At 46.5% G+C, this 25,043-nt stretch overlaps 1 long non-coding RNA gene, 3 other non-coding genes and 4 pseudogenes across 5 annotated transcripts, besides 3 other annotated features; 6 read left to right on the forward strand and 2 right to left on the reverse strand.

Moving 5' to 3' along the window:
* Positions 7,548-10,121, forward strand: PDE4DIPP9 (PDE4DIP pseudogene 9; annotated as a pseudogene).
* MIR3675 (microRNA 3675) lies at positions 9,786-9,858 on the reverse strand. Its single transcript, NR_037446.1, has one exon. It is a non-coding gene; the product is annotated as a microRNA 3675 (primary transcript).
* Positions 11,035-11,107, forward strand: TRV-CAC11-2 (tRNA-Val (anticodon CAC) 11-2; annotated as a pseudogene).
* TRG-CCC1-2 (tRNA-Gly (anticodon CCC) 1-2) lies at positions 12,758-12,828 on the forward strand. The gene has a single exon. It is a non-coding gene; the product is annotated as a tRNA-Gly (tRNA).
* Positions 17,524-18,123: an enhancer, noted in NCBI's record as "OCT4 hESC enhancer chr1:17193182-17193781 (GRCh37/hg19 assembly coordinates)". NCBI's record gives its function as "activates a minimal SCP1, AML or CMV promoter by ChIP-STARR-seq in primed H9 embryonic stem cells {active_cell/tissue: H9 hESC(primed)}" and the evidence as "EXISTENCE:reporter gene assay evidence [ECO:0000049][PMID:30033119]".
* On the reverse strand, positions 18,065-24,167 carry LOC124903860 (putative protein FAM231BP; annotated as a pseudogene).
* Positions 21,605-22,442: an enhancer, noted in NCBI's record as "H3K4me1 hESC enhancer chr1:17197263-17198100 (GRCh37/hg19 assembly coordinates)". NCBI's record gives its function as "activates a minimal SCP1, AML or CMV promoter by ChIP-STARR-seq in primed H9 embryonic stem cells {active_cell/tissue: H9 hESC(primed)}" and the evidence as "EXISTENCE:reporter gene assay evidence [ECO:0000049][PMID:30033119]".
* Positions 22,443-23,279: an enhancer, noted in NCBI's record as "H3K4me1 hESC enhancer chr1:17198101-17198937 (GRCh37/hg19 assembly coordinates)". NCBI's record gives its function as "activates a minimal SCP1, AML or CMV promoter by ChIP-STARR-seq in primed H9 embryonic stem cells {active_cell/tissue: H9 hESC(primed)}" and the evidence as "EXISTENCE:reporter gene assay evidence [ECO:0000049][PMID:30033119]".
* On the forward strand, positions 23,063-24,933 carry LINC03126 (long intergenic non-protein coding RNA 3126). 2 transcript variants are annotated; one of them, NR_160658.1, is made up of 2 exons: positions 23,063-23,980; positions 24,560-24,933. It is a non-coding gene; the product is annotated as a long intergenic non-protein coding RNA 3126 (long non-coding RNA). The 2 variants fall into 2 exon arrangements; NR_160657.1 differs by having other exon boundaries at positions 24,621-24,933.
* TRE-TTC3-1 (tRNA-Glu (anticodon TTC) 3-1) lies at positions 23,420-23,491 on the forward strand. Its single transcript has one exon. It is a non-coding gene; the product is annotated as a tRNA-Glu (tRNA).
* Positions 24,545-24,688, forward strand: RNU1-5P (RNA, U1 small nuclear 5, pseudogene; annotated as a pseudogene).
* Positions 24,934-25,043: the final 110 nt, after the last annotated feature.

Here is a 25,043-nt window from a genome sequence, read left to right on the forward strand (position 1 = left end):
GAATTCAGCAAACTTTCAGCAAACAATTCATTGTGATGGCAATGAGCTATCTGAGAAGTAAACTGACACAATGATTTCATTTATAATAGCACCTGTAAGGATAATATGCCTGGGAATAAATTTGTTCAAGAAGGTGCAGTACTTGTACACAGACAACTACAGAACATTGTTCGAGGAGACTAAGGAAGACCTAAATCAATGGAAAGACATCTTGTGTCCACGGGTTGGAAGTTGTAACATGGTTAAGATAAAAATACAACTCAAAGCAATCCACAGACTCAATACAATCCTATCAAAAAGTGGCTTTTTTTACAGGAATGCCTGAGAAGAACTTCATGTTCCTAAAAAACAGCAAGTGTCCCCCCAAAACAAAAGCAATCTTGAAATGCAAGAAGGAACGTTCTCTATTCCAAAGGTCTTTAACTGCTCTCAGTAATACGTGGTAATCTTCAATATACAGGCTTTCACACCTTTTTTTTTTTCTTCTTTTGTTTCTAGACACGATCTCACTCTTTCACTCAGGCTGGAGTACAGTGGCAAGATCACACAGCTCACTGCAGCATGGAATTCTCAGGCCGATGACATCCTAGGGCCTCATCCACTGAGTACCTGGGACTACAGGCTCACACCACCACAGCCGGATAATTTTTCTGATTTTCAGTAGAGATGAGGTCTCACTATGTTGCCTAAGCTAGTTTCAAGCTTCTGAGCTCAAGCGACCCTCCTGCCACGGCCTTCCTAAGCGCTAGGATTTGAAGCTGAGCCTGGCTGGCTTTCACATCTTTGCTATGTAGTTTATATTTCTTGGTGTTATTGTAAATGTTTATGAAAGGAATCTTTTAAAAATTTTGTATTAAAATTATATATTTAAGGAATTACATATATTATATATATTTAAGGAATACAACCTGAGGACTACATATACATATACACATACACATACACATACATACACATACACATACACATACACATACACATATACATATACATATACATATACATATACATATACATATACATATACATATACGTATACTATACATAATGAACTAATGCCTACTAGGTGAGGGGCTGCCTTGTGAGCAAACCCAAAGTCCTTGGCTCACAAAGCCTTGTCTAGAAAGATGGAGGGATCAGCAAAGTGGGCACACAGCAGGTTCTGTCTTTAGTGCGGGCACCTGCCCACTCGGGTCTCTGGCAATCCTGACCAGGCTTCATGATGGGTGAGGTGAGCTAGGAATGGGAAAGTGGATGACCTCAGATCCAGAGACTGCAGTTGTCACCTGGGGACCTGGCATGTGCGTGGAGGAGTCTCCCACTGATTTGGCCCTGGATCAATGCCCAAACATGCACAAGGACAGGACTGTTGGCCTCAATGTTTTAGGAGCCACCAGTCTTCTAAAGAGGGTTTGTGGTGGGGAAGAATGTTCAACAAAACAGAAGAGTTATGGGTACTCTAGCTTGGCAACAGAGAATACTTCCTTGTGCTACTAAATGACAATATTTGACAATTATGGATGACATAATTGAGCAACAGCTTTCACTGTTTAACAAGCAGGGTCTCTGGAACACTAGGTTAGTGCTGTCGGAAGTTGACTGAAAAGTCGGTGGTTTGAGCCCATCCAGTCGCATTAATGTTTCTAGCTGATGTGACCTTCCATCTGAAGAGTCTCTTCCTTGGACCAAATATATCTTCAAGCTTCTCCTCTTCTTGTCTCTTGTCTATTTTCCAAGGTGCCTCTTTGTTGCTTGAGGCAAAAAAAGTTCATTATTAATCCACACCCAGCAAACATCTACCCTTACTTATCCCGGTTTTTAGAGTTTTGAGTTTGTTTGTTTTCTCAGCTTCTCATATTTGGAATACTGGGAATTCCTAAAGTGGAGAACAACAGAACCTGAATCACACCTATGGTGAAGCCACAGGCCCTGGGTGAAAAACCTAATCTGCTCGCGTTTAAAGATAAACCCATTAATTTTCTGTGCTTCCATTTCTATCTGTCTAATGGGCTAAATCAGAACACTTAATTTGTCCAATGTTTAAACGAGCAGTGCAGGAAAAGCGTGGAGCCAATGCCTGTCACGTAGCAATTGGTCAACACGCATGAGCTCCTATCAGCGTCACGGCCTCCAGCATTTCCATCAGGCTTTGATCTTTGAAACGTCCTTCCTGATATGAATGGGTCATTCTTCAAACATTCTCTAACCGATGGCCATGACATTGTTCCAATGTGTATTATTACAAATACAACTGCAGAGACCAGACTGACACATGTATCTGTCGTGCATCACTTGTCTATTTCTCCGTAGATACCTGGAGATGGAATTGTCAGACCAAAGTATTTATACATTTCTGATTTTGCTAATTTCTATCCAAATTACTATGAAAAGAAGCTGTAACAAGTCATACTTTTAATATTTTATGAGAATTCTTTTTTTCTCCATCTTCTGGCCAAAACTGGGAAGTACTTGCCTACCATTTCCTCTGAACTTACTTTTGCCAACATTTCTGTAGTCACACAGTGGGATCACATTGCATGCATGACATCAAACTCAAATCCTAATTGAAAAGAGGGGTTCACAGGACTCTATAAAAATTTATATTCAAAATACAAAAATGCAAACATATATGTGTATACAAATACATATATATACACATACATATATGGGAAAGGAATTTTTTTATTTGGATACCTTATCAAAGTTATATAGACTGGAAAATTTGTTTAGTAAAACAGCAGTCCCCTTGTGTACTCCCAGAGTTTCATCACATAGAAGCAAGTATTTAGTTATTTATCTCCTTATGTCTAAATAGATATTATTCCTTTTTGATTTTCAAGCGTAGGCACTATCTCTCCTTCACATACTTGCTCATCACCACCACCCCCAAACATGCCTCTCACTACCTTACCCTCTAACATGTTTGTGTCCTAGTTTGAGGGCCAACTACTACATTATTATAACTTGTATATGTTATTCAGAGTTCAGTCACACTGGATATACATAGCAGGAAATGAAAGGCCAGTATCTTCAGGGACTCTCTCTCAAGTGGATAAGCTTCAGAGATTTTTGTAATCTTTGGTCACCCTCTCCATCTTTTTCCTATTCCGGGTAAGTACTGGATCTGATGGGCCCAGCTCAGGTCAGGCACTCTCTCCTTGAGAAGGGGAGAGCAGGACATCTTCATGTGTAGTACCAAGAAGACACTGTCCAAAGAGGGACAGGTAGTTCTGAGACAGAAAAGTCAATCTGGGGTATGGGTAGGCAAAACGAGGACACAAAAAAAAACCCATGTCTGTTCTGTGAGGGGAGCATGCAGTAGAGGGTGGATTCAGAGTGGGAGGGGAGAGTTTTGAGAGATATGGGCCATGGATAGCCCTCTGTGGGCTGGAGCCACGCAAGGCTGTTGGGGTCTCTCAGGGGCAGGGAGCTGAGGAGAATCTGCCCTCCCCAACCTGGGAGACTGGTGAGGGGACTGTCCTGGTCACCAGACAGAAATGGGGTCTGGGCCAGGGCAGTTCTGGTGGGAAAGAAAGAACAGGACATCTTCTCCTTAGGTAAGGCTCTGAGTTCAGGTCTTGGTAGGGAGGGAGGTTACCTTGGGCATTGGCCACTGAAGATGGTTGGCCAGATGAGCACACTGAAATCTATGTTCTATAAACTTGCAGTTCTAGTAAAAGAATGACTGCAGTAAAGGGTCTTTAGGAAGAGGAGGTGGAAGACCTGATTTGGGTTGGGGGCTCCAAGAAGAATGTCTGCCTTGCTGTGCAGAAGCCTGCTACACAACCTCCCTGGTCCCCTTGCTCAGTCTCCCGGCCAGACCCCCAGAGTACCTGCCCTGTGCACCCTGGAAGTACACAGTGAGTTCAGCCAAGGCATCTCCAGCCGGGACTCATCCCTGGGCATTTCTGTGGCCTTGGGTGCCCTGGCCTTCTCCAGGCCCTGTCTTGCAGGCAATCGTCCTGCAGGGGAATGGGAGAAGGAGGCTACTTGACAGTTGACTCTGAGTGGCTCCACAAGTTCCTGACTTAGCTCCTAGTCACTTGCAAACCTATATACCCCCATCTCATCCCCCAAATGGTGAAAAAGAAACTTTGCCAGGACTCATGCCAGACAAATAGAACAGAACCGTTCCATAGAGCCAAGGTCTTAGGACATCAATAAGAGATGGAAACCACCTGCTAGAAGGTGCCACAGTGGGAAGCTTGTTGGAAGGGAGCAGTCACTGAACTGTCAGGGTGAATCCTGGCTCCTGGCCCTCACACGCCCTTTCTCCCCTTCCTTCCTTCTCTCCTCCCTCCTGTCTGCTCTTTCCCCTCTCTCCCCTGCATCCCTCAGGTACCTTCCATGGGCCCTCACCCCTCCTTTTCAGAGGCTCCAAAGTGAGCCCTCAAAATACTTGGTAACCTTGGGCATTTCCAAAACTGGAGAGATTTGGCCACACCATTTTTAGGAGCTAGGAACGTCCTCCAGAGCTCTTGCCTAAATTTTTCTGCTGATGAGAAGAGAACAAAAGAGTTTCCATCTGATCTGGTCCTAAGGCAACTGCTCCTTGGAGCAGAGTCTGGGCAGGAAGAAGGGGGTTGCCCAGGGCCCCAGACTTGCCCCTCCCAGCTGCTGTGCTCCTCTCCCCTTCACTGCGGGAGGCTGGCCAGGGATCGGGAACCTCTGTTCTCCACAGTTGCTGCGATCCCAGGCCCAAATCTAAATATTGGCTGATTTAGGAGGCTAAGGGAGGCAATTCCCTGGAGAGAGGTGTCAGGATCTGGGACAAGAGCAGCATCTGGTTGCCATCCACGGAGACCCCAAGGACAGGAATCCAGTGGTAGCCTGTTGGAGGGGATCCCATGACAATAAAATGAAACGTGTGCATTAGAACTGGAGCCAAGACCAGGAGCTGAAAAACCGCGCCGTCCTAAGGGATGAAGGAATTAGGGAATCCCGGAAGTAAAGTTTTTCATATAGGTCATTTCTTCCAAAGAGACACAGGGCAATGGCCCAATGACATGTATAAAAGAAAACTCAGGGTCTAGGATTGAGGGGAGGCAGCCTTTTCAGTGGAGGAGACCTGTCACCTGGAGGCCCAGGGTCACCCTGAGAGGGGAGGGGTCTTGCTGGGTCGCTGGGTCTAGGACTCCAATTGCACACAGCCAGTGGCCTGGACGGTGGGTGACCATGACTGGGGCAATTTCCCCCATTCCGCTTAGGGAGCAATAGGAATATCATTGGCATTATACAGAAAGGTCCCACTGAGACTTGAACGCTGATCACCGTACTCAGAGTCCAAAGCGCTCACCATTACATCATGGAACCTCACAATAGCTCGTAACTGGAGGGCACTGAGTTCACAGAGCAGCCGTAGTTCCCACGCACCTCTGTTCATGTATTTCCTCTGATCCCTCAAGCAACACCGAGGAAGGTGGACCTGAGATGGAGGAGTCGTCCTCTTTCTTTCTCTGCCCTCTCCTTTGATCAACTTTTACCATTTCCTTTGCATCTTAGAAAATGAGGCAAAATCCAGTTTGGGCTTAGGGCCAGAGAAGAGCCCTTGAGGCCTCCCTCATGGAAAACATACTCTCTCAGTTTACCAGAGTTTCCTGTACCAAGGGGAAATTTCTGCAAACAGTAATGTTATATTCTTTTTGCCTTCCCTCTTTTCCCTTTGCCCAGGGAGGCCAGATGATTGTCAGAACAGGACTTGGGCCTTCCTGGGTGCCTCGCCCCCTTCCTCCATGTAATAAATAATAGCTGACACCAAGCAAGTGGGATTGGGAGGCAGGGAAGCTTTCATTTTCTTTTTGATATACTTTTATGCATTTGCTTGGTTGGTTATGGCAAGATTTTCTCACCAGAAATGGAGATTTGTTGGATTGAAAATAAAAAGTAATCAGCCATGTTTTACATTCAACATTTATTGAACCCCTGCTGATAAAGCACTTGCCAGCTTCAGTGGGTCTGCTAGAGATGAGAGTACACAATCCCTGACTTACAGATACCTTGTCCCAACTAAGGCCTAGGTTATCTGAAGGGGAGATTATCAATGGCAAATGCAGGCTCCTCCTGTGGAAAGAAATTCTGCTTCCTGGAGCTGGTGGTCTCTTCTCCCACCAGTTCAAAGAAGCTTCTCTCGCACTGTGGATCTGCCCTCCCTGCCCCACAAGGTTAGGGTATGTGCCATTGGGGCTCAGGGCATATGTGGGAAATTCAGACATTCTGTAACACCTGCTGTCTCTTCCCACGCAGGTGAACCCTTGCTGAAGCAGGACAGCAAGCAGGTCCAGGTGGACCTCCACGACCTGGGCTATGAGACTTGTGGTCAAAGCAAGAATGAGGCTGAACAGGAGGAATCCACCAGTCCCGGTAAGAGCACAGGGTGTGGGGCTCACCTTCCCTCCCTGGAGTCAGCTGTCACATTTGGGTGCTGTTGGCCAATTCCACACCTGACAAGTAGTGGGGAAGAGGAGGACAGGAGGTTAATAGGAGAACTCTTACCCAAAATGAGGCTGAGTATAAGTTTGAATTTCTACAATGAGTTTGTGGCATACTGCTAATAATAATAATAATCATATGAAGTTCTATCCAACTGATTATTATAGAAATACTAAGGCCTACTTAGAGACCACATGAGGTTTTGGAAACATGCAAACCATAAGTTAAAAATAATTTTGGTTTGCATTATAAAAGGACTACAACTATAGGGCCACCCACCACATTCAAAACGAGAAGAGAAGAAAAACACAGTCTCTCTCATTCTTGAGGAAGTGTACTGTGGCAGTTAAGAGAAAAGATCCTGGGGTCAGACTTGTTGCTTCAAATCCCAATTTGTAAACTTTCCTATGCTCCAGTTTCTTCAAATGTTAAAATAGTAATAAAGGAACTACCTACCCCATCAGGTACTAATGTCAATTAAATGAGTAAATTCTTATAAAATGCTTTAGAACAGTGTCTGGCATCGGGTAAAATGCTGTGGATTAGTTCTCATTCTGACTACCACTGCCCCAATACACTGATGTTAACATGCTGATATATTTATTCAAACTCTTATTTTCCTTTGCCTATTTTTCACACAGTTATAACCCAATAAACTTTTAAATTATAGTAAACTTTAGAGAGCATTAAACTTGCAGCATGCAGAAATAGCTTGTCCTACATTCTTGTGGCTATCCTAACTAGATAAGGCCATGTTAATAATGTCTTGAGAAACATCAGTGTGTGTGGAATGAACACAGGATGTTGGAGGATTTGAATTCAGGCTCTGCCACGTGCTAGTTTGAGTGATCTAGAACAAGCTGGTTTACCACCTCTCTTTAAGTTTTGGTTTCCCCAGTCAGTAAAATAGAGAGTGGTGAAACCTAACTTGTGGGTATAAGGAGGATAAGAAATACTGTATTTGAATGCCTAGTACAGTGTCAGGGTTGAATAAAGTACGACTTCACCTTTTTCCCTAGTAATTATTATCCTCATGACCAAACCTGCCTCCTCTCAAAGGCAGTGGCCACAACAGCACATCCAACTTTTATTCAGGAAGACATCTTTGTCTTTTTTCAGAGCATGAGGAGCACAGCAGCCGCAAGGAAATGGTCCTGGTGGAGGGGCTGTGCTCTGAGCAGGGGCGCCGGGGCTGAACGCTGGCTAGTTCCTCTGAGAGGAAGCCCTTGGAGAATGAACTAGGGAAGCAGGAAGAGTTCTGGGTATATGGAAAGTCAGAAAACATCTGGGTCCTATGAAAGGACATCAAAGATCTGAAGGCCCAGCTGCAGAATGCCAACAAGGTCATTCAAAACTTCAAGAGCCAGGTCCAGTCCCTCTCAGTTACAAGTGATTATTCATCTAGTCTGGAAAGACCCTGGAAGCTGAGAGCTCCTGACACCCTGGAGGGGTCTTCACCTCATAGTGTCACTGATGAGGATGAGGTGTGGCTGTCTGATGGCACTGGGGCTTTCTACTCTCCAGGACTTCAGGCCAAAAAGGACCTGAAGAGTCTCATCCAGAGAGTATCCCAGCTGGAGGCCCAGCTCCCAAAAAATTGACTAGAAGGGAAGCTGGCTGAGGAGCTGAGATCAGCCTCATGGCCTGGGTAAGGATGGCACTGTCTGGGCACTTTCTGGATTGAAAATGTGTAAGTTTGTGCTTGGTGTAGGGTAGCTCAGGCAGTTGGAAGAAACAACATGTCTGGGTATTCACAAGGACACTGATTTAAATGGTAGATATAGGTCTGTGGAAAAGACAGGTAGGCAAGCAGGAGGGCATAGGATGATGTCCCAGTATCTGGGAGATACCAGATCTCAGGGATTTCCTCTTAGGGATATATCAGTAAAGTAATAGTACATATGGTATAGTATAGTATAGTATAGTATAGTATAGTATAGTATAGTATAGCATAGTATAGTGGTAATACTGGAATCAGACTGCCTAGCTCTGATGCTTACTACCCATGCAACCTTCTTAACCTTTCTGAGCCTTTGTCATTACCTATTAAATGAGGATGATAACAGAACCCATCTCAAAGGGTGGATATTAGGTTTAAATGAATTAATACAAGTGCTGGCCAGGTGTGGTGGCTCATGCCTGTAATCCCAACATTTTGGGAGGCTGAGGTGGGCAGAACACCCGAGGTCAGGAGTTCGAGACCAGGCTACCCAACATGGTGAAACCCTGTCTCTACTAAAAATATAAAAATTAGGTGGGCATGGTGGTGCACCCCTGTAATCCCAGCTACTCAGGAGGCTGAGGCAGGAGAATCGCTTGAACCTGGGAAGTGGAGGATGCAGTGAGCCGAGATGGTACCACTGCACCCCAGCCTGGGTGACAGAGCAAGACTCTGTCTCAAAAAAAAAAAAAAATTAGTACAAGTGCTTAGAATGGTGCCCAGCATACATTAAGCTCTCAATGCTATTTGCCATAGTTATCAGTGTTATTGACACTTTGTGTTGAAAACACAGACATTCATCTTGGTATGCGTCCTGGTTATCTACTGCTAAGTAAGAACCACTCTAAAACTTAGTGACTTCAAACAGTACTTTATTATGCTTCATGGTTCTGTGGTTTGACTGGGCTCAGCTGGGTGGCTCTCACTTAGGGTCTCTTGTTTTGGGTCTCATCAGTTGATGGCATGAGAGTTTATGTGATGGCCATGATTGCAAAATACAGTCAGCCACAGTATCACAACACAGAAGAAATTCAGACATCAGGTGGTGGTTAAAACAGAAGACATGAAAGGTCCTATCTAGACTTAGGATGAGATGAGTCTAATTATTCATTGAGTATCTGCTGTGAATCTCTGTGATGCTGGTGCTGTAAGGGATGTGAAACGCAGAACTATCTTCATTCTCACAGACCTTACGATTTATCTAGGGACATATAATTAACATATATAGAACAGTTGAAGAACAGTGGCATGGTAAATTTTTTGTTTTGTTTTGTTTTGATACAGAGTCTCACTCTGTCACCCAGGCTGGAGTGCAGTGGTGCCATCTCGGCTCACTGCAACCTCTCCCTCCCAGGTTCAAGCAATTCTCCTCCCTCAGCCTCCCAAGTAGCTGGGATTACAGGCATGTGCCACCATGCCCAGCTAGTTTTTTTGTGTGTTTTTAGTAGAGGAGGGGGTTTCACCATATTGGCCAGGCTGGTCTCGAACTTCTGACCTTGTGATCTGCCTGCCTCAGCCTCCCAAAGTGCTGGGATTACAGGCGTCAGTCACCACGCCCGGCCCATACTAAATTTTTAGTGCAATAATTTATCAGGGTAGAATTTACTCTTAAATACCTCCTATGGCTTACGTGCCAGAATTCAGTTTGGGGGAGTTCCTTAGAGATGTTCTCATAGAAATCTCTACAGAAGCCCCATAACTTATCATCCACCCTTTCCTCTTCTGTCCTGCATTAGGAAATATGATTCCCTGATTCAGGATCAGCCCCGGGAACTGTCTTACCTACGGCAAAAAATACGAGAAGGGAGAGGTGTTTGTTATCTTCTCACCCAGCATGCAAAAGATACAGTAAAATCTTTTGAGGATCTCTTAAGGAGCAATGACATTGACTACTACCTGGGACAGAGCTTCCGGGAGCAACTGGCCCGGGGAAGCCAGCTGACAGAGAGGCTCACCAGCACACTCAGCACCAGTAGGTTGGCCACAGGGCTTTGGATACTCTCAGTCACCCCACAGTTCCAGCCCCTGGTGGCCACCACATCTCCACTGCAACTTTTTAACGTAGGGTCCTGTTTCTATTTCATTTCCTGGGGCTAATACAGGATCAAGACTGCTCAATGGGGAGCATGGAGAGGAACACACAGGGCTGGAGATGCCATGGTTACAACTCTAGAAACTTCACCACTCATGGAATGTGACCTGTGGGGCAGGGGCGGCATCTCTCTGGTGCTAAGAGGGAGTAGGGGACATGACATGGAAGGGCCTTGTTATAGGAGGAAGAGCCGTGAGCTAACAATTGCAAGACGTCGAGGCGCTGAGGCCAAAGGGTCCGTGAGGAAACAGGCGCAGCTCGCGCCCCTCGGCCTACGGGAGGGAGGGCAAGGAGAGTCCTACGGTTCCTGGGAGGACGAGAAGAGCCAAGAGCCCCGACGGCCGGCGCCGGGGAAAAGGCCCCGAGGCGGGGTCCGCATCCCTGGAAGGGCGGCGTCCACCCTCCTGAGAGGCACGGGGCGCCCAGGGCTCGGACGCTCAAAGCCCGCCGGCTCCTGCAGCTTCTGGGAGCCGAAGAGTGTCAGCCGGGAGGATCCCGCACACGGCGCTTAGTTCTGGAACTGCATACCCAGGGGAGGATGCGGGAGCCCGAAGCCCGGGTATGTGTCCCCGAAGCCCGGGTGTGGGTCCCCATGGTTTTCGTGTTGGGGGTGGGCGCGGAACGCTAAGCCTGGGCCTATTGGGAGCCATAGTCTTCTTGATGGCTGGTGCTTATTGGGCTTTTTTCAGTCGAATTTCGAAATGCAGTTGAATTTCTTACTTTGGAAACGATAATAGAAATGGCTGACCTAAGATTTTCATGATGATATTTTGCCTTTTTTGGTGTATATGCAGTTTCTGTGGTGTAGTGGTTATTATGTTCGCTTCACATATGAAAGGTCTCTGGTTCGAGACTGCGTGGGAACATCGTGTTTTGTTTTGTTTTTTTGTCCCTAAATTTAGTGAGTTTAATCGAGGTTGGGAAACAAACAGAAAAGTAGTTGAACCTGTGGCTACACTTTAGACCTCCTCAATCTAGACAGATCGTTGACCAGGCTACAGTTTCCACTGGTCTGCCAGCAAGAGGCCTGCTTAATATTAGCTTTGGTTCCAGAAATTCCTTCAGGTTCTCTTCATTCTCTTCTATCGCCTGTATTTTCACAGGCTGACACTGAAAGTGGATGACATCTTAGTGCATTTCCTAAGGGTCCCGCTTGGCTTCGCTTTACTCTGGTAAGTTGCAGATCTGGCTGATTTGCAAGACAACAAAAACAAAATATTTTTTAAAAAGGTTCTAAATCTGCATCTGGAAGTCATAGAGTCAATATTCCTAAATCACATGAATTATGTGTATACATTTGCATGCATACCCCTTCCCCAAATAATCCTCAGAAAACCGGTTAAGTTTTAGCATCTGTGACTCTGAGATGCATATGAGGCCTTTGTAAATTTAGAAGTTAAGAGTAGAAAGTACAGGTTTGTATTTTAGAAGGAGATTTGGGAATAAATATAGCTCTGGTGGATATAGATCATATGTTAAGGTTTGTTGGCCAGAGCTGGTTTGTGTCTTGGGTGTTGGGCAAAGAACAGAGAACAGCCAAAGCTCTGCGAGGTCAATGTGAAGGGTGATTTCCTTGGTGGGCTCAAGTTTATGACGCAGCCTGGACCTAGCTTGGCTTCTCAGCTAGAGAAGAAGCATGATTCCATGTCACAGCTCCTGTCTTTGAAAAAGTCATAATGACTCCCAGACCCAACATATGGAGAAAACTCTGGATTTGTCTCTTCAGTTGAATGTTTCCAGAGAAAATTGAGGAAAGAAATCTCTCTACTATTTGAACTTCATCAAAAGACTAATATGCTAATATTTGACCGTCAATATTTCCTTAAACTAGTCTACTCCTTACATAGCTAATACATCAAAGCATATTAACTTAGGAAATGGGATTCTCCCAAACAATGAAACATTGACGGCAAGCGTTCTTCATCTTTTCATATCACATTTCCTTCAAATGCTTTATACATCTTCAAGCAGACAAATAATAGTATTATAATGATTACGAGACTGATCGTTACTCTTTTGCCAAAAAAACCAGCGACAAAAGACTAACTTAGTGGACCAACCTTTATTTCTTCATTTTCTCTACCTTGGTTCTGTCCTTTTATTTCCTCTTTCTTCTAATTCTGCTTCTGCTACTGATTTCCTCCCTGGATTTGAACTTTACTTACCTAAACTACCAGTTAGGTTACCTTCTTAGAACCTCTAAGGCAGCAGTTTGAGGTTGACGATGGAAGATTTAGGATTAGAAAAAAGAAACGTGAATGAATTTCTGATGTTTTATTATAGGGGTTTGTAATGCAGGTAGAAAGAAGGACCTTTTTCAGAGTTAAGAGTTTGATCCGACAAATGAGCTATTTTGATATTTATAACGTTGTCTAGTAAAAGTTTCCTGTAAAAACACATTTGGTTTGGATGTCTTTGTTAGCTTTTAGTCGACACTTGAAAAAACCGCTTGGAACGGTTTCTAAGTCTTTGTGGATACTCTTTTCTGTTATCCTCCAGGCGGTAGTTACGCAGAGGCATTGGTGGTTCAGTGGTAGAATTCTCGCCTCCCACGCGGGAGACCCGGGTTCAATTCCCGGCCAATGCAAAAGGGTCTTTTTCACCCCGCTGTTGCTCTTTATCTGTCTTTTACGCTGAAAATCATACTGCATAACCTAATAGTGCATTTAGGGGCTTGGCCACCACAAGGTAAAGTGACGACAACACTCACGAAAGTAGCGGCAGGAGACATTCAGGAGACTAACTCAGGACCCCATGCAGTTGTTGGACTCAAACAGCTTAGCAAGCTGACAAGCATGAAGTGTTTCCGGTGAGTCACTGCAGTTTTCATACTGGTACCTGTGACTTTCATCTATTCACTGGAAGGATCCCTGCAAACCCGAAGAACCATCAGGTTCCTGATTCGCGTGCTGGACCTTGGGCTTACCGTTGAGCCACTATGGAGAGGATCAAGAAATGACGCTCTTGGAAGGAGAGAAGCTGCGGGCAGGACAGTCACCTCAGAGGTCCAAGAGGCGTCAGCGGCCCAAAGAAAGGGGTGGTGTGTGGGCAAGAGTCTGCGTGGAGATGAGGGGAGCGGCGGAGACTGGTCCTTGCGCAGAGGTGGCCAGTAGACCCTCAGGGCTGTACCCCAGACACCGTGAACCGAATTTGCTAACATCGTCAGCGACCGCGGCCTCCGCGTGTTTTGTGGGCCCATCGGTGTTCCCCGAGAAATTCCGTGTGTCTGGCAATGTGTGTCAACAGGTGTTGGCCTGAAATTTGGCCGGGCACGGTGGCTCACGCCTGTAATCCCAGCGCTTTGTGAGGCCGAGGCGGATGGATCGCTTGAGGTCAAGAGTTCAAGACCAGCCTGGCTAACATGGAGAAATCCCGTCTCTACTAAAAATACAAAAATTAGCCAAATGTGGTGGCATGCACCTGCTATTCCGGCTACTTGGGAGGCTGAGGCAGGAGAATCGCTTGAACTCAGGAGGCGGAGGTTGCAGTGAGCCAAGATCGCGCTACTGCAGTCCAGCCTGGGCGACAGAGCGAGACTCCGTCAAAAAAAAAAAGAAAAAAAAAAAGGAGCGAAAGAAGGCAGAGATGTCAATGGGACAAAGAGACCTCCCAGGAGGCTTGTTGTAGAGGCAGTGGCCGGATCCTGAGAGATGAGATTTTTTATTTAATTATGTAGCAGAATGGGGAGAGAAAGGGAGAAGCGCATGAAAGACAGAAAAGCACGAAAATCTGCGGACGTCCAAGAATAAAGCAGATAAAATAGTGTGAGTGTTTTTACATTCAAAAAATAGAAGAAGTGCAATGCTTGTCAGCAGGCTTTGTGGTCGTGTAGTGGTTAATACTTGTAGTTGTGGTTGCCACAACCTGGGTTCTAATCTGAGTCACAGTAGTGTTTTCTAGCCTGCGATTGTGGCTAATAGACCTGTCGTTTGCTTTGCCTTTAATCCTAGCAGCCTCCAGAGAGCAGAGTAAACCTCTGGCCCCGAAGGGCGCCAGCTTCTGGAGTTTAGCCCACAGCGCAGAAACTAGGGGGCGGCCTGGCCGATAGGAAAACTTGGACATGCTCTTTGTCTCACAATTGAGCAGGAAAAATTCCCGTAGGTGAAGATGCTGCCTCTCAAGGGCCCTTTGTCTGTAGCTTCCACTGATGAAATAATGCGGTTATAGTCTTTTCTGGTAGAGAAAACGGCTGTATCAGTGGAATTTTTTAAAAACACAAAACGAGAACGAGTTTTTAATGAGCTGACAATAAAATCTAAACTAGTTGTCATGGTCTGCACCGGCTTGCCTCCATTCCCCATCTGCTAATTTTTATGAGAACAGTAAATTATTACTATTATCATTATTTTTGAGACGTAGTCTTGTTCTGTCACCCAGGCTGGAGTGTCATGGCTCAATCTCGGCTCACTGCAACCTCTGTCTCCCAGGTTCAAGCAATGAGAACAGTAAAGAAACTACAGTTCACATAAAGTGCACAAATCTTTAGTGCAATTTGTTTAGTTTTGATCAATGTTATCACCACCCAGCTCAAGTTATAGAAAATTGCCATCATCTGAGAAAGGCCTGTTAGAGCCCCTGTCCAGGTGATTCCCACCCTGTGTCCTCTTAGTTATCACTATTCTGATGTCTATTCCCACAGGTTACAATTGCCTGTTCTTAAAGTTCACATGAGTGAATGTACATGTTTTGTGTCTGGCCTTTTTTCTGCAGTTACATTCATTATACTCATGAGATATATCCATGTAGTTTCATAGATCACTTCTCAATTTTGGGGTTATTGATTTCTTGTGCTGAATATTCTTATAACAGTCTTTGTGTGCACTTGAGATTCATGGAAGTCCTTCAATTGCTGGGTCATGACCTGAGTATAAGTTTAACATCAGTATAAATTGCCAGTCTTCTAGAATGTTTTTTCACCAGCGATGACAGTTGAAGTGGCACCAAATTCTTGTCAGCATTTGGTGTACGAACTTTGTTAAATGTAGCTATGCTCTCAGACCAATCTGGCCAACATGGCGAAACCCTGTCTCTACTCAAAATACAAAAATTAGCCGGGCATGGTGGCATGCACCTGTAGTCCCAGCTACTCCGGAGGGGGATGTTGCAGTGAGTCAAGATCACAGCATTGCACTCCAGCTTGGGTGACAGAATGAGACCCTGTCTCAGAAAAAAAAAAAAAAAAAGTAGCCATACACTGGTGAGTAGTTAGTGCTATCTCAGTGTGGAATTAATTTGTATTTGCCTAATGAGCAATCCTATGAAGCATACTTTCTTGTGGCTTCCAGCATATAAGAAACTCTCCTTTGCAAAGGCCTATTCAAATATTTTGCCCTATTTTATTTGGCTTAGCTCTATATTACTGATTTACAAAAGTTCTCTTGTATATTCAAGAATTGAGTCTTTTTTTTTGACTTTTTTTATTATACTTTAAGTTTTAGGGTACATGTGCACAACGTGCAGGTTTGTTACATATGTATACATGTGCCATGTTGATGTGCTGCACCCATTAACTCGTCACTTACATTAGGTATATCTCCTGATGCTATCCCTCCCCCCTCCCCCCACCCCACAACAGGCCCTGGTGTGTGATGTTCCCCTTCCTGTGTCCAAGTGTTCTCATTGTTCAATTCCCACCTATGAGTGAGAACATGCAGTTCTTGGTTTTTTGTCCTTGCGATAGTTTGCTGAGAACGATGGTTTCCAGCTTCATCCATGTCCCTACAAAGGACATGAACTCATCAATTTTTATGGCTGCATAGTATTCCATGGTGTATATGTGCCACATTTTCTTCATCTAGTCTATCATTGTTGGACATTTGGGTTGGTTCCAAGTCTATGCTATTGTGAATAGTGCCGCAATAAACATACGTGTGCATGTGTCTTTATAGCAGCATGATTTATAATCCTTTGGCATTTATAATCATTTATAATAATCATTTATTTATAATCATATAAATCAAATAAATATATAATTTATTTATAATCATTTGGCTTTTAGCAGCATGATTTATATACCCAGTAATGGGATGGCTGGGTCAAATGGTATTTCTAGTTCTAGATCCCTGAGGAATCACCATACTGACTTCCACAACGGTTGAACTAGTTTACAGTCCCACCAACAGTGTAAAAGTGTTCCTATTTCTCCACATCCTCTCCAGCACCTGTTGCTTCCTGACTTTTTGATGATCGCCATTCTAACTGGTGTGAGATGGTATCTCATTGTGGTTTTGATTTGCATTTCCCTGATGGCCGCTGATGATGAGGATTTTTTCATGTGTCTTTTGGCTGCATAAATGTCTTCTGAGAAGTGTCTGTTCATATCCTTCGCCCACTTGTTGATGGGGTTCTTTGTTGTTTTCTTGCAAATTTGTTTGTGTTCTTTGTAGATTCTGATGAATCTACAGATGAGTAGATTGCAAAAATTTTCTCCCATTCTGTAGGTTGCCTGTTCACTGTGATGATAGTTTCTTTTGCTGCACAGAAGCTCTTAAGTTTAATTAGATCCCATTTGTCAATTTTGGCTTTTGTTGCCATTGCTTTTGCTCTTTTAGACATGAAGTCCTTGCCCATGCCTATGTCCTGAATGGTATTGCCTAGGTTTTCTTCTAGGCTTTTTATGGTTTTAGGTCTGACATTTAAGTCTTTAATCCATCTTGAATTAATTTTTGTATAAGGTGTAAGGAAAGGATCCAGTTTCAGCTTTCAACATATGGCTAGCCAGTTTTCCCAGCACCATTTATTAAATAGGGAATCCTTTCCCCATTTCTTGTTTTTGTCAGGTTTGTCAAAGATCAGATAGTTGTAGATGTGTGGCATTATTTCTGAGGGCTCTGTTCTCCTCCATTGGTCTATATCTCTGTTTTGGTACCAGTACCATGCTGTTTTGGTTACTGTAGCCTTGTAGTATAGTTTGAAGTCAGGTAGCGTGATGCCTCCAGCTTTGTTCTTTTGGCTTAGGATTGACATGGCAATGCGGGCTCTTTTTTGGTTCCATATGAACTTTAAAGTAGTTTTTTCCAATTCTGTGAAGAAAGTCATTGGTAGCTTGATGGGGATGGCATGGAATCTATAAATTACCTTGGGCAGTATGACCATTTTCCTGATAGTGATTCTTCCTACCCATGAGCGTGGAATGTTCTTCCATTTGTTTGTATCCTCTTTTATTTTGTTGAGCAGTGTTTTGTAGTTCTCCTTGAAGAGGTCCTTCACATCCCTTGTAAGTTGGATTCCTAGGTATTTTATTCTCTTTGAAGCAATTGTGAATGGGAGTTCCCTCATGATTTGGCTCTCTGTTTGTCTGTTATTGGTGTATAAGAATGCTTGTGATCTTTGCACAAGAATTTTGTATGCTGAGGAGTCATTTTTAAAATAAATATATTGCAAATGAATTTTCCCAGTCAGTGAAAAGTCTGACTGAAAGCTGTCAACTGAAAAATCACACAATTTATAAATTTAGAAGGGAGATTTTATTTTTTATAAATGGTTACAGCCTGCAAGGTGGCCATTCCCACAGACTGGGAGGCATACCCTCCTGCTGAAACCGAAAAGTAGGTTTCCAGGGAGGGGAGGGGGGAACAGGGATTTATGTTGATCTGGTGGGCCACATATGCATATTCAACAGGGAATAGGAGGAGCTCTGAATATTCATGAAGGGATCGTGCTGCATGCATGCTGAGTAAACAAGCCTGTTACATGCAACCCATGTTCACTTTGGGGTGGAGATGACATTTAAATACATTATAATTAGTCCCTATGCTTCAAAAGGGGAAGCAGGGACACAAAGGCAGTCAAGTGCACAGCCTCTGTAAAACGTCCAGAACCCGTCCACAGCCAGTGCTCTCTTATCAAGGGGAAGTTACTGAAATCAGTCTCTTGTCCAATCAAAGCTGTAGTTATGGCTTGTGTAGGGAGGGCTCAGTCAGTTTATGGTAATGGGTGAGCTGCAAGTGCTTCAGCATTGCTTATCTCAAGGCCAGTGCTTGTTTAGCTAGAGAAAAAAAGGAAGAAGAAAAAAACCTGTGGCAATTGGAACATAGTTTATTCTTTAAGTTGAGGGGTGCATGACTCCACCTTGCCTGGCGTGGCCTTAGGTCTCGTTTATCATACCATATCTTACTACTGCAAGGAGTCTGTTCTGTCAGTCTTAGGATCTCTATTTTAACAATAATGCTGGTCAGTTGTGTCTAAACCACAAAGGGAGAGAGTATAAGGAGAGGTGTCTGAGCTTCCAAGTACTGGCCAGGAACTCAGTATTTAAGACTTCTCTGGGGTCTCCTTGGCAAAGAAGCCATCTGTCCAGCTAGTTGGGTGGCTTCAGATTTTAATTTTAGTTCTGAAAGCATTTAATTTGATGAAATTTTGCCATATTTTTTCTTTATTTTTAAAGCCCGTCATGTTCTATAAAAATCTTTCTACTCAGGATGTGAATGGATTCTCTTAATTTTATCTCTCTATGAGTTCCAGAGTTTCAGTTTTAATTTTTAAATTGATGACATCTAAAATTCTACTCCTAACCAAAACATTTTTGGGGGTGACTAAGGACAACTCCAAAAATCTTCCATAAATGGAAGTAAGACTTACTCCTTAAAGAACTTTCTGGGATCCTGAGCTGCGGGGCACAGTGGCTTTAGTGCACCTCTGCTCTTAAGACTATTCAGAAATTGTCTTTGTGAACCCATCAGGCTGTTTCAAAATCAGCAATTTAGGGCTTGCTTGCAACACGCAGTTAAGCAGCAGCTGTTTTTTGGATCTCATGAGTGCCTGCATGCATACTTCCCTGGGAATTTTCTAAATTTGAATTCTCATGGTATTTCAAGTGGCATAGTTGTCTCTTTCTTTTGCCTACAGCCACATACATACCACCAAATCCTGCACTCCAAGCTTCTCCTTCCTCACCCTGAACTCCCAACCTCCAGTTAGACAATCCACATCTTCCCACACCTGCCTCAGGCTCCATCAGGCCACTGTGCCTCCCGCAGCAACCAGGCCAGGGGGAATCTGGATTCCTATTACACTTCTGAGGAAGGTGATCAGGGGGCGTGGAGGATGTGGGTGGGAAGGGGTGAGATTGAGGGCAGGAGTACACTGTGGTCTTCTGTCTTCTACCTCATTGGCCCAGGTGCTGCTCTTCCTCCGGTTGTCTGCTTTCAGCCCTGTGTAGGGAATCAGGTCTGCGCCCTCATCTTCCTGACTCTCATTTTCTGAGGAACCTGAATGGATGAGCCGTCGCTCTTGTCCCACACATTGTGTCCAAAGGTGCCCTCCTCTCTACTTGCTCCGGTGCCTGCTCTCTGAGCTCTGACACTCAGGCTGGGATGCCGCCCAGTACAGAAGCTCTGCAGCCCTGCAGGGCTCTGACTGTTCCACACCAGCAGGATAAAGGCCACAGGGCATGCTGTGGTCGAAAAGCATTCAGAGGTGTGGGCTGAAGGCCTCTCTTTCCACAGTCCCTTTGAACACCCCATGGAAGTCAGCACCCCTTTGAGGAACGAGGTGGCCCAAGGCCTGGCTTCACATGCAGGCCGTTGGGTCCCAGTGGGTCCTCTCTGTGCCTGGTATAGCCAACGGCTTCATGCATCTTACCCGGTTTCCTCTCCTCCACCACCCAAGCTCCTCCTTGACCCCCTTGCTCAGCTGTTCTCAGGACAGCAAGATCCCCAGCCCTTGGAAAAGCCCATCTCCAGTGCTTGGGGAGGGAGTTGGGTTCAGGTCGTCTAACCACAGAAGGACAGAGAACTTGAGGCAGGAGGAAATCCCTTCCCTTGCTGGGTCTCTTGGCACAGCCCATCCAGGGGTCTGGGTCAGGGTCCAGGTATACTCTACCCTCCTATAGGACCTGGATTTTTAGGCCCCCGAGGTTGGTCAACGTGGAGTCTTTCCCACTGTTCACCTGGGAACTGAAGGAATATCCCATGGGGCCCTCTCTTACTCATTAGAGACACCCAGAAAATACTCCATTCAGCAGAAACTGCGTGCAGTGTACCAGACCACTATAATTATAACTGCAGGGTGTGGAGGTCAGACACGTTTTGTGGCTATTTTCTCTCTGTCTGTGACTTGCTTGCCTTTTCACTTTCTTAGTGGTATCTTTTGATGAGAAGGTGTGGCTAATGTTGATGAAGTCTCATTTATCATGTCTTTCTTATATATGTATTTTTTGTGTCCTGCTTGTTGGTAGGGTGATCTTTGCCTACCAACAAGTCACAAACTATCCTTGAAATGCTTTATATCTTTAACTTTTACGTTTTGGTGTGTAATGTACCTGAAATTACTTTTGTGTGTAGTGTGAGGGAGAATAACATTGTTGGTCTCCCCACATTCATATAAAAGTCCATTAATTGAAATGATTTATTTTCTTTTATTGAACTGCTTTTATTGAAAACCCATTTATTGACCGTATAGCTGTGGATCAGTTTCAAGTCTCTTAACTCAGTCTGTTTATCTATTTGTCACTCCTGATGCCTCGTCTGTAATAGCTTATAGTAAACCTTAAAGTCAGATAGTACAAGTCCTTGTTCTTTTTTACACATTGCAATAATTTTTGAAATAGGTAATAACTCATAAAACCATCACACACATCAGGATATGCTGTCACTTCATCCCTTTCTGACATGGTTTGGCCGTGCCCTCACCCAAATCTCAACTTGAATTGTATCTCCCAGAATTCCCATGTGTTGTGGGAGGGACCTAGGAGGAGGTAATTGAATCATGGGGGCGGGTCTTTCCTGTGCTATTCTCCTGATAGTGAATAAGTCTCACTATCTGCTGGGTTTCTCAGGGGTTTCTGCTTTGGCTTCTTCCTCATTTTCTCTTGCTGCTGCCTTGTAAGAAGTGCCTTTTGCCTCCCGCCATGATTCTGAGGCCTCCCCAGTCATATGGAAATGTAAGTCCAATTAAACCTCTTTTTCGTCCCGGACTATGTTATGTATTTGTCAGCAGCGTGAAAACGGACTAATACACTCTCATTTCTGAGTGGGACACATGCTGTCACTCACATATGCTGGTTGCTGACTTGTGACGGAAGATTCTCTATTGTACCCTCTGGGGACAATACATCTCCAGTTGCCTGCGGGGAGGATGAACATGCAAAAAATCCACAACACTCAGCACAGAGTCTGGATTTAGTCCCATTAGTCTGAATGGGACTAATGCCCTTATAAAAGGGACCTCGGGGAGCTCTCTCGCCCTCTTTCTGCCCCCTGAGGATACAATGAGGAGGTGGCAGTCTACAACCAGAACAAAAGGCCCTCACCATAAACCTACCATGTCGGCACCTTGATCTCGGACTTCCAACCTCCGGAACTGTGAGAAATCAATTTCTGTTGTGAATCAGCCACCCAGTTTATGTATGGTACAGTGTTAGAGAAGCCCGAACTAAGACACAGATGGAATCCCATGGAGAGTCTCTAATTTGCTAAGCTGGTCATCAGGCGGGATGTTGCCAGTTAGAAACAGGAAGAGCTGACATTTTGTGTATATGAAAGAAGATAGTGGACAGGCCCATTGTGTCGGCTTTGTCTGCCTTGGCAAACTGGAGACGGAAACTCGATTCACCATCGCCAGCCACGGGAGGACTGGGAGGACCTCCAGAGGAGGTTAGGTTGACTTCATGGTAACTTTAGATCCTGAAACCTCCCAGGATATTTCTTGTCTTCCCTTTGATCGCTCTTCCGCCTACCCAACAGGACAGGACTCGACGCCTTTCTTTCCTGGCAGCAAGAGGTCCGTTGCGGACAAGACCAAAGTGAGCAGCTGGTTTCCCCTACGTGTCCTTCCGGGCCTGGGCGTCTCTGGAGCTCAGGCTGACCCGAGACCTGACTCCCGGCCAGTGGGACCAGCAGGAGCCTGGAAGAGCGCGCCCACCGGGGTGGAGGTTGGTCGCCGGGGGTCGAGAACCGCAGTCAAACCCTCTTCTTCCCCGGGCACCGCGCACCTGCCCCCGGGGATGCCGAAGGAAGTGGCCCATAAAGCTTCTCTGCAACCGAAAGAGGCCTGAAGCTCCAGGAGGGCCGAGAGGAGCCTCGTTGAGCGAACCCAGCCCTCTGCCTGGCTGGCCCTGGTCAACAGGCTCGGAAGAGGCTGATTTGGAGGACAGAACGGAAGAAAAGACCTAAAGGTTTCGAATCTCATGATGTAGAGATGTTAAAAGCCTCCAATCCTAAGGTCTGACTGTGCGGGGGAGCGAGGGGGTCTCAAGCTGGATGGACCCCTGAGCCTTCATCTGGAGAGTCCTCTGCACAAGCTCAGACAGCAGGACAACGCGCATCAGTGGTTCTCAAGAGGGGGCAACTTCGCCCTTACACGCCTCTCACCTCCACGCTGGGACACTAGGTCACGAATGGGGGAAGCGGGGAGGGAGAATGCTAACCCCCTGGCATGTATCTAGTCAGCAGAGGCGACGGCTGCTGCTAAACACCTTACAATCCACGGGAGGGCCCCTCCCCTACCCCGAAGTAGCCATTCCGCAGAGGTGGAGAGACTCTCGTGTAGCTCAATGCCCACGCACTTAGCCGATGGGAAATTACGAATTGATGACCAGTTGGCTCTTGGATCTGAGGAAAAAACTCCAGAGTCAGAGGGAACTCTCGAAGTTTTGCCCGGAGCAAACGGAAGGGTGGCTTTGCCATCGCCTAAGATGGGAAAATGGCAGGTGTCACAGGTTGCAGGGGAAGGTCGGAGACCAGCTGAGGGCCCCGGAGCCTTCCTGGAAAGAGTTTCCCATCCAGCCCGTCTCGGTTTCCGCATCCGTCTGATTCCTTATGATGTTGAGGGTGCTGGCGTCTGGGTCCTTTATGATGCAGAGGGTGCCCCCGTCTCACCCTGGGCGCCTCCGCGCTCCCGCCTCCTCCTGGCAACCTGGTGCGCGGCTCCGGACCTGGCGACCCACGACCGGCTGGTCACTTGCTGCCACCTCGCAAAGGCGCATCTCTAGTTCAGTGGTGAGCTGCGGCCGGGTCGCTGCAACTCGCTCCAGGCCTCCGGACTCGTGGCCTCGGTGTCCCTCGCGGAGCCCTCGGTGTGTCGCTTGCAGGCTCTTTTTTTGAAGAAAGCAGGGAGGGAATGGCCTTGTGAGAGACTCCAGGAGCAAAGAGCGACCCTCACAAGGCCCAAGTCCTCCCAGAGCTCAGGGAAGCTGTCGCTTCTGACAGAAGAAGGGAGACAAAGCTCCCTCCTGTGTGTCCCTGGTGGTCTAGTGGCTAGGATTCGGCGCTTTCACCGCCGCGGCCCGGGTTCGATTCCCGGCCAGGGAATTGTTTTACACTGGCCGCCCTCCCGCAGGAATCTTCCTTCACTACGCTGTCAGCCGGCCTGCTCCAAGGGCCAGAAGCAGAACAGTCTCCGCAGCGGGGTTAAAGCCGGGCGAAGGAGGGCAAGTGCTGGTGGACCACCTCTCACGACACACCGTTCCTGTTTATCTCAGTGTCCGTCATCCGCGGGAGCAGCTTTAGAGAGCGACTGAGCGTCTCGCTCCGGTGTACACAGCCCGGCAAAGATGCCAGCCCCCGTGGAGCTGCACCCAATAAGCCCACCTTCTTTCCCGTCGCCACCCCGGAGACGCCCATCGGGCTGAGCTGCGAATAACTAAGAGAGAGGCCAAGCCAAGTCGTGGCGTTTGTGGCAGCCCCGGACACGGGCACCAGCCAGTCAGCGGAGCCTCCTCACCTCCGTTGCCAGCGAAGGCGCTCGTTAGGCCTTGGGAAGAGGCGACCGGAGGCGATGCCCGCGAATTTGTTAGGGGGGTAAGCGGCGGGTGAGGTCCTCGAGGGCGGTCCCGTTTGCTGATTGAGCGGTAGACGGAGGCGATGTTCGCTGACCCAACAAGGACAGCAGGTGGAGTAGGCACAGATGGAAAACTGCTGCCGGTGCCCTAAGCAGAAGGCAGGTGGAAAAATCAGCACTAGGACGTCGAAGCGATGGTACCACAGTCAAATCCCACGACGTCTACACTCTACCAAGCACTTGCGCACGCTCCCCCTTTTCCATTCAGTACTCCCAAGAGGGGTTCGGAAGAACCCCGAGTCCATTGTAAGCTCAGGGGAGAGCGGGAGCCAGGGAGGTGAAGTGCGCAGACTCGGCAGCGGCGGCGGGCAGAACCGCGGGGGGGTGAGAGGGCGCGGTGGCTGCGGGGCGGGAGCCGCTGCTGAGAGGCGGCCTGGGTTGTCTTGTGGGGTGACTGTCGGTGGAATCTTTGGTGGAGAGTGGTTTGGAAGAATGGCGAGGGGCGGCAGTGGGGAGGGTGGTGACCCTGAGCGACCGGCCAGGGCGAGGAGGCTGTGCTGTCCCTGCAGGCCATGTGCTCATTTCCACTTACCTGGCAGGGGAGAGACCGTGGTCACGAAGGGGGTTCTCCCAGAGTGAAGCTTCTTCATCTCACTCTAGAGTTGCTGATCCCTGTGATTTCCTCCATGTGGGAAACGGTGTTTGTGCTAGAAGAGGCTGCGCTCTTTACCTGACATAACGGGGTTCAAGACTGACAACGCCTCACGCCCACCCGAAAACGTTTACATGGCTTCCTTGTCTCTTTTTTTTTCTGTCCTAAAGTCGCCTCATCTTCACATCCCCTCTTTTTTTTCTTCCACACTCGAGAGTGTCTCTCTCTCTCAGTAAAAGCTCCACCAAATATTTGAAATATCTCAACCAGAAAGACTGCAATAAATACATTATTTCATTCGTGGAAGGTACAGACCAGCTAGATTGAGAGTTGCTTGATATTTTCTGCTAAACGGTGAGGCATAGAGCACTTGGAAGGTTTCTCTTTGGGCCACTGTTTGTGTACTCTTGGGTTTCCTTCTTTTCCCCAGA

The sequence above is a fragment of the Homo sapiens genome, chromosome 1 (assembly GCF_000001405.40).
Source record: "Homo sapiens chromosome 1, GRCh38.p14 Primary Assembly".
Taxonomy (NCBI): domain Eukaryota; kingdom Metazoa; phylum Chordata; class Mammalia; order Primates; family Hominidae; genus Homo; species Homo sapiens.